Source organism: Homo sapiens, chromosome 19 (genome assembly GCF_000001405.40).
Source record: "Homo sapiens chromosome 19, GRCh38.p14 Primary Assembly".
NCBI lineage: Eukaryota > Metazoa > Chordata > Mammalia > Primates > Hominidae > Homo > Homo sapiens.
In genome coordinates this window covers 45,974,363-45,990,416 of record NC_000019.10, presented here as the reverse complement: position 1 = coordinate 45,990,416, position 16,054 = coordinate 45,974,363, and positions in this window count along the sequence as shown.

Sequence of the window (16,054 nt, the reverse complement as noted above, 5' to 3'; positions counted from 1 at the left end):
TTAATGTGAATTTCACCTCAATAAAAAAAGAATTTAAGCAACAGATTAAAAAATCATTAGAATGAGAGGTGATGGTGGCTTCCACGAGGGTGGTGATGGCGGAGGTGGTGAGAAGTGGTTAGAATCTATTCTGAAGGTAGAGCTGACAGAATCTGCTGATGGATTGAGTGTCGGGAGGAAGAGAAAGAGAGGAGTCAAAAATGATTCTAAGGGTCCTGGAGTGCAGTGGCGCGACCTCGGCTCACTGCAACCTCCGCCTCCCGGGTTCAAGCGATTCTCCTGCCTCTGCCTCCCGAGTAGCTGGGATTACAGGTACCCGCCACCACGCCTGGCTAATTTTTTGCATTTTTAGTAGAAATAGGGTTTCACCATGTTGGCCAGGCTGGTCTTGAACTCCTGACCATAGGTGTTCCACCCGCCTCAGCCTCCCAAAGTGCTGGAATTATAGGCGTGAGCCACCGCGCCCGGCCAACTCTAAGGTTTTTGATCTGAAAAGATGCCAAGATGAGGTTTCCACGTATTGAGATTAGGTGAATTGCAGGTATAGGGAGACAGGAGGAGAATGTGAATCAGAAATTTGGTTTTGGAAGTGTTGAGGTACCCAGTAGACTTCCCAGTGGAAATATTGAGAGGACAGGTGAATATGAGTCTGAGTTCAGGGATAAGATCCAACCTAGACTGATTGATGTGGGAGTCCATCACCAAAAGAGTGAGTGAAGAGAGAAAGGAGAAGAGAATCCAGAACTGAGCCCTACAGCCCTCCAATGTTTAAAGACTCCAAGGACGGGCAAGACTGCAGAGGAGCCAATGGGCCAGAAGGGAAGTCTTGAGAGTGGAGTGTCCTGGAACCTGAGGGAGAAAATAAACCAAGGAGGAAGGCATGACTGTCAACAAGGAGGGAGCTCAAGTAATATGAGGACAGGCCACTGGACAACGGGACTGAGCCACATAGGGGTCATTGGTAACATCACCAAGAGCTGATTTGGAGCTGGGCACAGTGGCTTGCACCTGCCATTCCAGCTATTTGGGAGGCTGAGGAGGGAGGATCACTTGAGCCTAGGAGTTCGAGACCAGCCTGGGAAACATAGGGAGACTCTGTCTCTACAAAACATTTTAAAAATAGCCAGACATGGTAGCACATGCCTGTAGTCTCGGCTACTCACGAGGCTGAGGCAGGAGGATCAGTTGGCCCCAGGAGTTCAGGACCAGCCTGAGAAAAAAAAAAAAAAAAAACAGCTGATTTGGCAAAGTCACAGATTTGGGAGGAAAAGGAATCAGAGACACAAGATGAGTACAAATACCTCTGAGGATTGTGTTGTTTTATTTTATTTTATTATGTTATTTTTTGAGACAGAGTCTCACTTGGTTGCCCAGGCTGGAGTGCAGTGGCACGATCTCGGTTCACTGCAACCTCCACCACCCGGGTTCAAGCAATCCTCCTGCCTCAGCCTCCCGAGTAGTTGGGATTACAGGTGCCGGCCACCACGCCCAGCTAATCTTTGTATTTTTAGTAGAGATGGGGTTTTGCCCATGTTGGCCAGGCTGGTCTTGAACTCCTGGCCTCAAGTGATGTACCCGTCTTGGCTTCCCAAAGTGCTGAAATTACAGGCATGAGCCACCATGCCCAGTCTCTGAGGATTGTATTATAAAGAGCAGCAGAACATTGAAGCTAGAGTCAGACACGGAGTTTAAAAAGCAGAGGCCCAGCGTGGTGGCTCACGCCTGTAATCCTAGCACTTTGGGAGGCTGAGGCAGGCAGATCACAAAGTCAGGAGTTCGAGACCAGCCTGGCCAACATAGTGAAACCCCGTCTCTACTAAAAATACAAATAGAAATACTACTACTACTACTAATAATAATAATAATAATAAAATTAGCCAGGCATGGTGGTGTGTGTCTGTAATCCTAGCTACTCGGGAGGCTGAGGCAGGAGAATCGCATGAACCCAGGAGGTGGAGGTTTCAGTAAGCTGAGATCGCACCACTGCATTCCAGCCCAGGCAACAGTACAAGATTCCATCTCAAAGAAAAAAAGAAAGAAAGAAAGAGAGAGAGAAAGAGAGAAAGAAAGAAAGAAAGAAAGAAAGAAAGAAAGAAAGAAAGAAAGAAAGAAAGAAAGTAAGAAAGAAAGAAAGAAAGAAAGAAAGAAAGAAAGAAAGAAAGAAAAAGAAAAAGCAGGTTTGTATTAGAATGTGCTTTGATGCCAATGAGAATGCTCGAGGAGATACCGGAGAATTGATGGTGCAGGAGAGAAAGCAGAGGCTTGCTTGACTGATGTCCCTGAGTAGGCGAGAGAGAAGGGGACCAAGTGTACACATGTAGAAGTTGGCCTTGGCTGAGAGTGTTTCTGCAGTTAACAGGAGAGAGGAAAACAATAGTCACAGGTAGGTGGGTAGATGTGTTGAAAACCTGCGTAAGGGCCGGGTGCGGTGCTCATGCCTGTAATCCCAGCACTTTGGGAGGCCGAGGTTGGTGGATCAAAGGTCAGGAGATCAAGACCATCCTGATCAACATGGTAAAACCCCGTCTCTACTAAAAAAAAAAAAAAAAAAAAAAAATACAAGAATTAGCTGGGTGTGGTGGCATGCACTTGTAGTCCCAGCTACTTAGCAGGCCAAGGCAGGAGAATCACTTGAAGCCGGGAGGCGGAGGTTGCAGTAAGCCGAGATTGCACCACTGCACTCCAGCCTGGGAGATAAAGCAAGACTCCATTAAAAACAAAAAACAAAAAACAAAACAAAACCAAAAAAAAAACAAGAAAATCTGAGGAAGTTTCCTGATGGCTTCTCTTCTCTCCAGGAACTAAGAACAGGGTCAAGGGTGAGGGTGAGGATGGAGAGGAGGTGGGCAAGGTTGGAGGAGGGAACCACAGGTAGGAAATAGATTCCCAGGAGGGTGGGAGAGTGAATAGACAGGACTGAGGTTGGCAGGCAGTCCCCAGCCCCCAGGTGAGTAATCGTGAAATTGTGGTGAGCTCAGTCTCACCACTGTATTATGTGTTTTTCTCCGGCCACGTTCAGCAGATGCAGGTGCAGAGTAGGAAAGAGCTGGGTGACAGCCGTGTACCCTGCAGAAGTGCTGCTCTTGGGGATTCTCATAAAAACCTGCCTGTTGGCCGGGCATGGTGGCTCATGCCTTTAATCCCAACACTTTGGGAGGACCACTTGAGGTCAGGAGTTTGAGTCCAGCCTGGCCAATATTGCAAAACCCTGTCTCTACTGAAAATACAAAAATTAGATGGACATGGTGGTGCACACCTGTAGTCCCAGCTACTTGGGAGGCTGAAGCAGGAGCATCGCTGGAACCCTGGAGGCAGAGGTTGCAGCGAGCCAAGATTGCACCACTGTACTATAGCCTGGGCGACAGAGCAAAACGCTGTCTCAAAATAAATAAATAAATAAAGAATCTGGCTGTGATGATTATGGTTATAAATGCTTTGATGTGGTAAACAGAGGGGCTCTGGAAAGGAGAGGGACCATGAGTCTTACCCGAACCTTTTACAGATGCGGTAACAACCCACTGAGGTCCCTTTCAGGTTTTATACGCTCTAAAATGATGTTTTTCTCCCAAATGCAACATGCAATTATTATTATGCTCGGAAAATGTCCCAATAGCTCAACCCATTATGAAATTTGTGGAGGAGGTGCAGTGGTTCATGCCTGTAATTCCAGCACTTTGAGAGGCTGAGGCAGTCAGATCACTTGAGCCCAGGAGTTCAAGACCAGCCTGGGCAACATAGTGAGACCCTATCTCTACTAAAAATAAAAAAAATTAGCTGGGTGTGGTGGTGTGTGCCTGTAGTCCCAGCTACTCAGGAGGCTGCTGCAAGAGGATGTTTTGAACCGGGGAGGTTGAGGCTGCAGTGAGCTATGATTATGCGTGCCACACTGCACTCCAGCCTGGGCAACAGAGCAAGCCCTCGTCTCGAAAAAAGAAATTTGCAGAGGCAATCAGCAAACGTTCCCCAAGCCCTTCTGGACTGCCCTGCCTGAGTATCACAGGTGGGATGATACAGAATATTTGTGAAGCCCTGTGTGTTTTTCCTGCATAGGCTCATTGAGAGGCAGTGAGATGGTCAGTTAGCCTGTCTGCCTGGATTTCAATTCCAGCTCTGCTTCTTGCAGTCAACTTCTTCATGTGTCAGTTTTCTCCTCTATAAAATGGGGGCGATAGCAGCAGCAGGGACCTCCCAGAGCTTTTAGAGGAAATAAGTGAGTAAATGTATACAGAGTTTAGCACAGCACACGCCGTGTAGTAAACACATAATAAACCGTGGCTATTATCATTCACTGAATCGTCATAACAGTTTAGAAGGGATGTGCTATTATGATTCCTTTTCTACTGTGACAGCAATTAAAATATTAAAGTGTTTGGCCCAGGCATGGTGGCTCAGGCCTGTAATCCCAACACTTTGGGAGGCCAAGGTAGGTGCATTGCATGAGCTCAGGAGTTTGAGACCAGCCTGGGCAACATGACGAAACCCCGACTCTACAAAAAATACAAAAATTAGACAAGTGTGGTGGCCCATGCCTGTGGTCCCAGCTACTCAGGAGGCTGAGTTGAGAGGATTACTTGAGCCAAGGAGGTTGAGGCTGCCGTGAGCTGAGATTGCACCACTGCACTCCAGCCTCGGCAACAGAGCGAGACCCTGTCTCCAAACTATTATATATATATATATGTGTGTGTATATATACATATGTGTGTGTGTGTATGTGGATATATATATAATGTACATATATAATATTGAAGGGTTCATATTGAAAGCCTTATATACACACACACATTAGTTTGTGGTAACTCTGGGTAGAGATGAAGACCGAGGAAACCTGAAGAAGCTAAGCTGATCTACATAAGAAAGTATCAAGGCCGGGCGCTGTGGCTCAGGCCTGTAATCCCAGCACTTCAGGAGGCCGAGGCGCATGGATCACTTGAGGTCAGGAGATCGAGATCAGCCTGGCCAACCTGGTGAAGCCCCATCTCTACTAAAAATACAAAAACATTAGCTAGGCGTGGCTACCCCAGCTACCTGGGAGGCTGAGGTAGGAGAATCACATGAACCCAGGAAGCAGAGATTGCAGTGAGCTGAGAGCACACCACTGCACTCCAGCCAGGGTGACAGAGCGAGACTCCGTCTTAAAAAAAAGAAAGGGCTGGGCGCGGTGGCTCACGCCTGTAATCCCAGCATTTTGGGAGGCCAAGGCGGGCGGATCATGAGGTCAGGAGATCGAGATCATCCTGGCTAACACGGTGAAACCCCGTCTCTACTAAAACTACAAAAAATTAGCCGGGCACGGTGGCGGGCGCCTGTAGTCCCAGCTACTCGGGAGGCTGAGGCAGGAGAATGGCGTGAAACCGGGAGGCAGAGTTTGCAGTGAGCCGAGATCCCACCACTGCACTCCAGCCAGGGCAATAGAGTGAGACTCCGTCTCAAAAAAAAAAAAAAAAAAAGGAAAAAAAGTATCAAAGCAATACATTCATTCTCTGACATCCAACAGATTGGCAAAAATTAGACAGTCTAAGAACATCAAGTTCTGGAGGAATATATGCAAGAATGGATCATTTGCCATGGATGGTAGGAGGCCAAAGAGGTGCATCCCTTCTGGCGAACAATCCAGCAATACTTTAAGAAATTAAATGTGAGGATGCCTGATGACCCAATTATCACACTGTCCAACAGGCCCTTAAATGAGATTTGTATGAGGATGTCCATTGGAGTGCAATTTAGGCAGCAAGGAGTTGGAAAGAAGTAGATGTCCATCATTAGGGTTGGAGAAGTAGAATATGGAATACACAGTGGAATACTACACAGCAATGTAAAAGAGGGAGAAACTAACATCAGTGTATTGCTCAGTAAATGCCCAATGCTGAATGCTTTAAGATATCAGCTTGGGCTGGGAGCGGTGACTGATGCCTGTAATCCCAGCACTTTGGGAGACCGAGGTGGTTGGATCACGAGGTCAGGAGTTCAAGACCAGCCTGGCCAACATGGTGAAACCCCGTCTCTACTAAAAATACAAAAATTAGCGGGGCGTGGTGGCGCATGCCTGTAATCCCAGCTCCTTGGAAGGCTGAGGCAGGATAATTGCTTGAACCCAGGAAGCAGAGGTTGCAGTCAGCCGAGATCGTGCCACTGCACTCCAGCCTGGGCGACAGAGCAAGACTCCATCTCAGAAAAAAAAAAAAAAAGGATATCAGCTTGCACTTTAGCAAGTCAAGCCAGGAGGATCGCTGGAGCCCAGGACCTTCCAGCATAAGGAGTTACCCTCTACTCAATTCCTTGTTCCTGCCTTTGCAAAACTCACTGTTCTACTGTTTCCCAGTGGGTTTCAAGACCAAATAAGTACCAGAGTTTGAAGCTGCAGTGAGCTATGATGGCACCACTGCATTCCAACCTGGGTGACAGAGCAATATTCCATCTCTAAAAAACAAACAAAAAACCAGCTTGCAACAATCCTATGAGAAAGTGACCATTATTTAACAACTTTCATCTTACAAATGGAGAAACTGAAGCCCAGAGAGGTTAAGTAACTTGCCCAAGGTCATTCATCCAATAAGCAGTGAGGATGGAACTTGAACCGGGGCAGACTCTGGCACTCATCTCCAGCTAGAAATAAGCATAGCCACCCAGAGAGCTCTCAAAAAGAAGAAAGAAAGAAAGAGAATGAGGTTTGTAGCTTAACAACGACTCTACAAATTTAAAACACACATACAGCGCCGGGCACGGTGGCTCACGCCTGTAATCCCAGCACTTTGGGGGGCCGAGGAGGGTGGATCATGAGGTCAGAAGATCGAGACCATCCTGTAAATGGTGAAACCCCATCTCTACTAAAAATACAAAAAATTAGCTGGGCGTGGTGGCGGGCGCCTGTCGTCCCAGCTACTAGGGAGCCTGAGGCGGGAGGATGGCATGAACCCAGGAGGTGGAGCTTGCAGTGAGCCAAGATCGCGCCACTGCACTCCAGCCTGGGCGACAGAGCGAGACTCCATCTCAAAAAAAAAAAAAAAAAAAAACACCACACACACCCACATACAGCAAAACTAACTGCAAGGATACACAGGGATCTTGATAAAAGAATAGAAAGATTGGAAGGCCAAAAATTAAGCACATAAGAGTGGGTGCCTGTGGGGGGACAGATGAAGGGGAGAAATTACTAAAATTAAATGTAACTGAAGATGATTGCATAGAATCAGCATAAGTCTACGCACTTGCAGTTCTAAATCAGGGAAGCATCGAGATCCCCAGGGAGGGAGAGGACCATGGGGTGGGGAGGCGTTGCAGCTGAGGGAGGGGGACATGTGAGAAAGAGAGGCAGCTGGTGAAGCAGTTAAAAGAATGGCCCCTGTAGCCAGGCTGCCAGGGTTCAAAGCCCAGCTCTCTCACAGTTCCACTGGGGTTTTTTGTTTGTTTGTTTGTTTTGTTTTGTTTTCTTTTTTAAGATGGAGTCTCGCTCTGTCGCCTAGGCTGGAGTGCAGTGGCACGATCTCGACTCACTGCAACATCCACCTCCTGGGTTCAAGTGATTCTCTTGCCTCAGCCTCCCGAGTAGCTGGGACTACAGGCGCGTGCCACCATGCCCAGTTAATTTTTGTATTTTTTAGTAGAAACGGGGTTTCACCATGTTGGCCAGGCTGGCCTCGAACTCCTGACCTTGTGATCCACCCGCCTTGGCCTCCCAAAGTGCTGGGATTACAGGTGTGAGCCACCACAGCCGACCCATTCGTACTATTTGTAGTCATAAGAGACACACAGAAAGTGCCTTCGTCTTCCACAACCTAAGCCAAGAAATAGAGCAATACAGATTGTTCCTCAAGGTTCTTACAGAAATCACCCACACGCACACTTTTTTTTGAGACAGGCTCTTGTTCTGTCACCCAGGCTGCAGTGCGAGTGGTGTCATCAAGGCTCACTGCAGCCTTGAATTCCTGGGTTCAAATGATCCTCCCATCTCAGCCTGCCAAGTAGCTGGGACTACAGGTGGAAGATACTGTGTGTGGCTGAATTTTTTTTTTTAGAGATGGGCTTTCACTGTGTTGCCCAGGCTGGTCTTGAACTCCTGACCTCACACGATCCTCCTGCCTTGGCCTCCCAAAGTGCTGGGATTACAGGCATGAGCCACTGTGCCTGGCCAGAAACCCCATTTTTATTTCTTTTAGATAAAGCGCAGTGCGTGATCTGACTCACCTTTGAAAAGGATGACTCTGGGCCGGGCACGGTGGCTCACGCCTGTAATCCCAGCACTTTGGGAGGCCAAGGCGGGTAGATCATTTGAGGTCAGGAGTTTGAGACCAGCCTGGCCAACATGGTGAAACCCCGTCTCTACTAAACATACAAAAATTAGCCAGGTGTGGTGGCACGTGCCCGTAATCCCAGCTTCTCGGGAGGCTGAGGCAGGAGAATAGCTTGAATCCAGGAGGTGGAGGCTGCAGTGAGCTGAGATTGAGCCACAGCACTCTGGCCTTGGCGAGAGAGCGAGACTCGGTCTCAAAAAAAAAGGATGACTCTGGTTGCTGGTGGGAAAGGGTGGGCCAGTGTGGAAGTGGGGTCTGAGGGAGGAGGCTCCTGGGAGAGTCCAGGTGGGAGCTAATGGACCCCCATTCGGTGGTGCCGCTGGAGGTAGGGAGATGGGGTGAGATTTGGAACTCAAGGTAGAGCAGAAAGGGTTTGCTGATGGAGTGGATGTGGGTGTGAGGAAGAAAGGGATGTCAAGGGCAACTGCAAGGTTTTGGCCTGAGCAACCGGGAGAGTTTGGAATTTCTCCCAGAGGCAGCAGGGACTCATAGGAAGATGTTGAGGCTGGAGCGGGGGAGGGGACTCAGTCAGTTGCCAAAATCACCAAGGTGGCAGCCAGGACCTGGAACACAGGCCTGAGAAAACAGGAGGCAGGGATAGATTTCTAGCCCTGGCTCAGCCCCCAACTCACTGTGGGCTTCTGGGCAAGCTAGCACCCCTCACTGGACTTCAATACTCCCTACTACAGACAGGCTGTTAGGAAGAGAAAGCCCTGACTCAGATATCCCCAGGATCAGATAAACACACAATCAGCACACAAGATTAAATCTCTTCTCCTTATCCTCCTCCCCAAAGCCCACCTGTGCACCACTGGGCAGGGTACAGAAGTGCCCTGATCCAGGAGCCTTGAGGATAAAATTAGTGACAATGGCAGGCGGCACTTGTGCCAGGGGCTATTCACGCTCAGTGAAATGAAGACTACGCAGGAGCCCTCTGAGGTGGGAGCTTTATTATCATCCTCATCTGTAAATCGGGAAACAGACTCTGAAATGACTTGCCCAAAGTCACAGGGGAGAACTGGGATTCCAAGACATCTCCTCACCAGCACTGCTGTCTCACATCCTGGTCCAACCACCAGCACCTCTCACCTGGTTGGTCAAAGTCACCTCCTATTGGGCTCCTTACTTCTGCCCCATCCCTGCTACCATGTTCTTCATACACAGCCAGAAGGATTCCCCCCAGTATTTTTTTTTTTTTTTTTTTTTTTTTTTTGAGACAGAGTCTTACTCTGTCGCCCAGACTGGAGTGCAGTGGCGCAATCTTGGCTCACTGCAACCTCCACCTTCCGGGTTCAAGTGATTCTCCTGCCTCAGCTTCCCGAGTAGCTGGGATTACAGGCGCCCACCACCACACCTTGCTAATATTTACATTTTTAGTAGAGATGAGGTTTTGCCATGTTGGCCAGTCTGGTCTCAAACTCCTGACCTCAGATGATCTGCCTGCTTCGGCCTCCCAAACTGCTGGGATTACAGGCATGACCCAGCGTGCCTGGCCTCCCCAACTTTTTTTTTTTTTTTGAGACAGGGTCTCACTCTGTCACCCAGACTGGAGTGCAGTGGTGCGATCTCAGCTCACTGCAGCCTCAACCTCCTGGCTTCAGGCAACCCGCCCACCCTGGCCTCCCAAAGTGTTGGGATTACAGGCATGAGCCACTGTATCCAACCCAGAAGGATCATGTGATAAAATTTAAGTCTGCTCAAGTTCTTCCTCTGTTCACAACCACCCCCCCACCCCCATGGCTCCCACTTAAATCAGAGTCAAATCTAAGTCTTTTAACAAAAAATTGATTTAGAGTCAGGGTCTCGCTGTGTCACCAAGGCTGTCGCAATGGCGTGATCTTGGCTCACTGCAGCCTTGACCTCCTGGGCTCAAGCGATCCTCAGCTTCCAGAGTAGCTGGAACTACGGGTATATGCCACCACATCTGGTAATTTATTTTAATTTCTTGTAGAGACAGAGTCTCACTATGTTGTCCAGGCTAATCTCGAACTCCTGGCCTCAAACGATCCTCCTGCCTTGGCCTCCCAAAGTGTTGGGATTACAGGCATACAAATTGAAGTCTTTATGGTGGTCCTCAAGGCCCCCTGCACAGTTGGCTCCCTGACTGGCTCTTTAGCCTTATTCCTCCCACTATTCCCCTCCCCTACTGTCGTCCAGCTTCCCTAGGCTCCTTGCTCTTCCTCCAACATACTAGACATGCTCTTGCTTCAGGGCCTTTGCACCTGCTGCTCCCCCTACAGACCCATGCGGCCCACTCCCTCACCTCCTTCAGGTCTCTGCTCAAATGTCATTCCTCAGCGAGGCCTTCTCTCTCTATGTCAACCCTATTTAAAATTGCAGGCCAGGTGTGGTGGCTCATGCCTATAATTTCAGCACTTTGGGAGGCCGAGGTGGGTGGATCACTTAAGGTCAGGAGTTCATGACCAGCCTGGCCAACATGGTGAAACCCTATCTCTACTGAAAATACAAAAATTAACCGGGCATGATGGCGCGGGCCTGTAATCCCAGCTACTTGGGAGGCTGAGGCAGGAGAATCGCTTGAACCTGGGAGGCAGAGGTTGCAGAGAGCTGAGATCCCACCACCGCACTCCAGCCTGGGCGACAGAGTGAGACTCCATCAGTAAATAAATAAATAAATAAATAAATAAATAAATAAATAAAATTGCAGCCATCCCCCCTGCCCCCATACCCTATGCCTCTTCCTCCTCCCCTGCTGCATTTTCCCCACGGTAGTTAGCCTCATCTGTCACACTCTATGTATTACTTTTTTACTTGATTATCTGTCTCCCTGGAACGTGAGCTCATGAGGTCAGGAATTTGTATCTGTTTTGTTCACTGCTGTATTCCCAGCACCTAGAACAGTGCCCAACACATAGTAGGTGCTCAGTAAATATTTGCCAAGCAGATGAGTGTCTGGGGTTCATGCTCCTCCCCACTATACCTTTTTATGCAAAGCGCTGAGATAGCTGCTTTCTGGTGTTGGTATATGACCACACCTCTCCATCTCACAGCTCACTGCAGCCTTGAATTCCCAAGCTCAAACGATCTCCATCTCCGCTGCTTCTGCCAGGGGGTAAAGGCAAAGGATCCCTCCTTCTTAGAGTCCATTCTGGCTTCATCCCAGCCCCCATCTAGCCCCCTCCCCTTCATCGTCCCTATGATGCCCATGTCACTTCCTTGCTTAAAATCCTCCAGGGACTCAAGGATTCCACATTGTAATCGCCACACCAGGGTGTTCTGTACTGTCGGTCACAACTGCTTAGCAGGCTGTAAAATCAACCAGTAGTTTTTTCAATAGCATAGAATAAATCAGAGTCAGCCGGGCATAGTGGCTCACACCTGTAATCCCAGCACTTTGGGAAGCTAAGGCAGATGGCTCACCTCAGGTCAGGAGTTCCAGACCGGCCTGACCAACATGGTGAAACCCCATCTCTACAAAAATTAGCCGGGCATGATGGCGGCTCCTTGTAATCCCAGCTACTCGGGAGGCTGATGTGGGAGGATCACTTGAACCCAGGAGGTGGAGGTTGCAGTGAGCCGAGATCGCACCATTGCACTCCAGCCTGGGTAACTGAGCAAGACTCCGTCTCAAAAAAAAAAAGAAAAAAAAGAATAGATCAGAGTCTACGCACATAGTGTCAACATAATGTAGACTAAGGTGGAGATGAAGCGTGGTTTCATGAAACTTTCATTTCAGTTGTATTAGGTTGGTGCAAATGTAACTGCGGTTTTTGCCATTGCTTTTGATGATAAAAATCGCAATGAATTTTGCACCAACCTAATATATGCATTGCATCATGATGTGTGTTTCTCACTGTGAGTCAACAAAGTTTGCAAAAACCCTGCAAAAAAAGTTTGCAGTCCTGCCTCTCCTAAATCCTGTGCGCTGAGTAGATGGATGATATTAATAGCAGCTCAGATTTATCTCTTTGTTGAGATCCGTGCCAAGTGGTTTTGCCTGCTTTGGCTCATGGACTCCTTGTCACACCCCGAGTATGGTCATGATTCCCATTTGACAGATGGTAAGACTGAGGCTTAGGCTGGAGACATCTCATGCCTAAGATCACCAGGCTGGGAAAGCTGAGGCTTGAGCCCCAGTGAGTTTCTCTCCTGAGCCTGCACAGGTAATCCTTGCCCATTTGCCCACTCGCCCAGCCTCTCCTGATCTGCTCCACACCTGCAAGAGCACTCAGGGGTGCCAGCCTGTCCTCAGAGCCCAACAGGTACAAACTGCCTTATCGATCCTCCTGACACTCCAGCCAGCAGTATCATTTCAACCTCCATTCTGTAGGCTGAAAGACTGAGGCCTTTCATTTCATCCCAGAAAACAAAGCTAGAAAGCCTTTCCAAGGATGCACCATTCTGTCACCCTTCTCCAAACTGCCCTCTTTGAGAGGCAGGAGAGAGAAATGGCTAAAGATGTGTCTTTGACTGCCCAGGCTCAAATCCCATCCCATTCATTCTTCTCCTTCTTCTTCTTTTTTTTTTTTTTTTTTTTGAGACAGAGTCTCTCTCTGTCACCTAGGCTGGAGTGCAGTGGCACGATCTCAGCTCACTGCAACCTCTGCCTCCTGGGTTCATGCGATTCCTGTGCATCAACCTCCCAAGTAGCTGGAAATACAGGTGTGCACAACCACCCGTGGCTAATTTTTGTATTTTTTAGTAGAGATGGGGTTTCACCATGTTGTCCAGGCTGGTCCTGAACTCCTGGACTCAAGTGATCTTCCCATCTCGCCCTCCCAAAGTGCTGGGATTACAGACGTGAGGCACTGCACCCGGCCCAAATCCCATCCTTCTAAACTTTGTAGCTATGTGACACCAGGCAAGCTCTCTGGATCTCAGTTTCCTTTTCCGCAAGATGGGTATAAGAATAGTAATCCACCCATAAGACCATGTTTAAGACTGATAAGTTAGAATACATGCAAAGTTCTTAGGACAGTTGCCATACCCCTTTGCTAGGGAATCTTCCCAGCAGCCCTATGTAATTGGACTATTTACCCCTGAGACTTGTCATAGAGAGGAGAAGGCCCTTGCCTGAGTTCACATGGCTAAGAAGTGGGAAAGCCAGAATCTGGATGTAGATCTGTCTGGGCTTTTAACCACCAAATCATAACAGTCATTTAAAGGGGATATTGGCCAGACACGGTGGCTCACGCCTGTAATCCTAACACTTTGGGAGGTCGAGGCGGGCAGATCACCTGAGGTCAAGAGTTCAAGACCCACCTGGTCAACGTGGTGAAACCTTGTCTCTACTAAAAATACCAAAAAATTAAAAAATAAAAAATAAAATAAAAATAAAGGGGGTATTAACAGCAGCAGCAACATTTTCCAAATTAAAGAATGAGAGACTCAGAAAGGGTAAGGGCATGCCCAAGTCACACAGCATGTAAATGGCAGGGCCAGAACTCAAACCCAGGCTTCTGTAAGCTGACCTTCACTCCAACGAGCCCCTCCATATAGCTCTGCCAGGTTGGAAGGAAAAGGCAGGTTCGGGGATCCCCTGCCCCAGCTTGGTGGGGGTCTCTGATGTCCCTGACTCTGGCCCCTGCCCAGACTAGGGTGACTGCTCCCCTGAAAGCTCTGGGGTGGGGGCACAAGGGTGGCATGGATGATGGCAAAGGGTGCAGCAGCCCCCTCCGCCAGCCTCTGATTGGGGCCCTGCAGTCCCCCAGGATTTGGTGCTTGGAAAGCTGACGTTGGGTTGCTATGGTGATGGGTTTGGGGCGGTTGCCATGGCAGCAGAACTAGCCCGGGTTTAAAAATATCTAGCAGGAGGTTTGTGTTTGTGTGTGAGTGTGAGTGCGTGACCGACCGTGCTGTTGTGTGTGTCCAAACGGGAGGGCTCGATGGGGGGAGCGCAGGGTTGGGGCTGCAGGCATGCCTCGGGGGTGGGGGCTGAGCGGCACACAGCTTTCCATGTGTGTTGTGCGTGTCACTGAGTGGCCCGTGAAGTCCAGTTATTGTGTGCGTTAGCCTATGTGGGCCGTGTATCTAAATGTGTGTGTTGTGTGTGTTTACCCAATTTGTGTGCAAGGAAAGACTTAGTCTGTTCGTCAGTCTATACATCACATGTCGCTGATATGTCTTATGTAACATAGGCCATGGATGTCCTGTGGCTTTGATCATGGATTTGTAACTTTTCCGAGTGTGTGGGGCCAAGTGTGGAGCTGTCGTGGCTCTGAATGTGTGTACCTGGGACATACCTGCATATTAGATGTGTGTCTGTCTATTTGTGTATGAGAGCCTGTGTTGTGGCCTTGCGTCTGCATGACTGAATGTGCATTACAGATGAGTGTGTATGTGTGTGTACGTGTGCCTATCCCCTATAAGTGTGTCTGTGTGACTGTGTTGAGACCGTGCACCTGCAGCAGGGCCAGTGTGACTCTGTGTGTGTCACACAGAGGGGGAAACTTCACAGCTAATTTCATGGATGTTGGGATATGTACCTGTGTGGTGTGAGGCTATTTGACTCAAAGGGTCTAAGGTGTGGTACTCAGCCTGACCCCCGTATCTCCCTATATCCGTCTTGCCTCTTCCCCATCTCCATGGCAACCAGCTCCTCAGCTCCCTCCAGGAAGATGGAGGGGGAGGATCCAGACTGCAGTGGACCACAGCCCCCTCCCATCCCCCTTGGCTCTGGGGACAATGGGGGGGAGGGGACAGATGGGTAGCCACCCCATCCACCCCAGGCCATCTGCTACCCTCCCCCATCCTGGGGACCTGAGAGCATGGCAAGGGAGGAGCAGGGGGGGGTTGGAGCCGATCCCCCTGCCGCAGATCACGCAGTGGCCACAATTACCTGCATCCAGACCCCTTCTGAGCCTAATCTTGCCTCTGACCAACCCAGGAAGGAAAGATTCCTTGGAGGTTAAGAACCCAGGGAGAAGGAAATTCTTGCATCAAGGAACACAGAATAATAGCAATGATCCATTCCAAAGAAAGGCACCCTAGTTCCAATGACTTTGGGCTCTGAAATTGGACTTGTCCTGCGTTCTCATCCCAGTTTCTCTCTCTCAAGCTGTGTGCCCTTGAAGAAGCCACCCTCAATGTTCCCAGGCCTCCACTTTGTCATCTGAAAACAAATTTTTCTTAATGACATGAGTAGTAATACTGTACAAGGGCCAAGGCTGTTTTGTTCTCTATTGTATCGCAGCATCAGGGACAGTGCCTGGCACTTAGTAGGTAGGCCCTGAGTGCTGTTGTTTGAATGGAGAGCCAGTTGTGCCCCAGGGCAGGTGCTGCAGGCTGCAACTCCAGCTCAGTGAATTCAATCCTCTGAGCCCTTTCAGCATCACGGTGTTGATTCTTCAAAGGATGGATGAAAGATTTGAAGGGGAATTTCCCAGCTGAAAGGATTGAAAAAGAGTGAAGTGAAATTTCTTTCTCTTTCTTTCTTTCTTTTTTTTTTTTTTTTTTGAGACAAGGTTTTGCTCTGTCTCCCAGGCTCGAATCTAGTTGCTTGATCATGGCTGACTGCAGCCTCAAACTCCTGTGCTCAAGAGATCCTCCCACCTCAGACTCCAGAGTACCTGGGGCTACAAGCATGTGCTACCACGCCTGGCTAATTAAAAAAAAAATTTTTTTTTTGTAGAGATGGGGTCTCACAATATTGTTGCCCAGCTCGTCTCAAACTCCTGGGCTCAAGTGATTCTTCCGCCTCGGCCTCCCAAAGTGCTGGGATGACAGGCATGAACCACCGCGCCTAGTCGAAATTTCTTGTCTTGACCAAGTGAAGTCAAAGTAAGCTCCTAAGGCTGTTTCCTCAT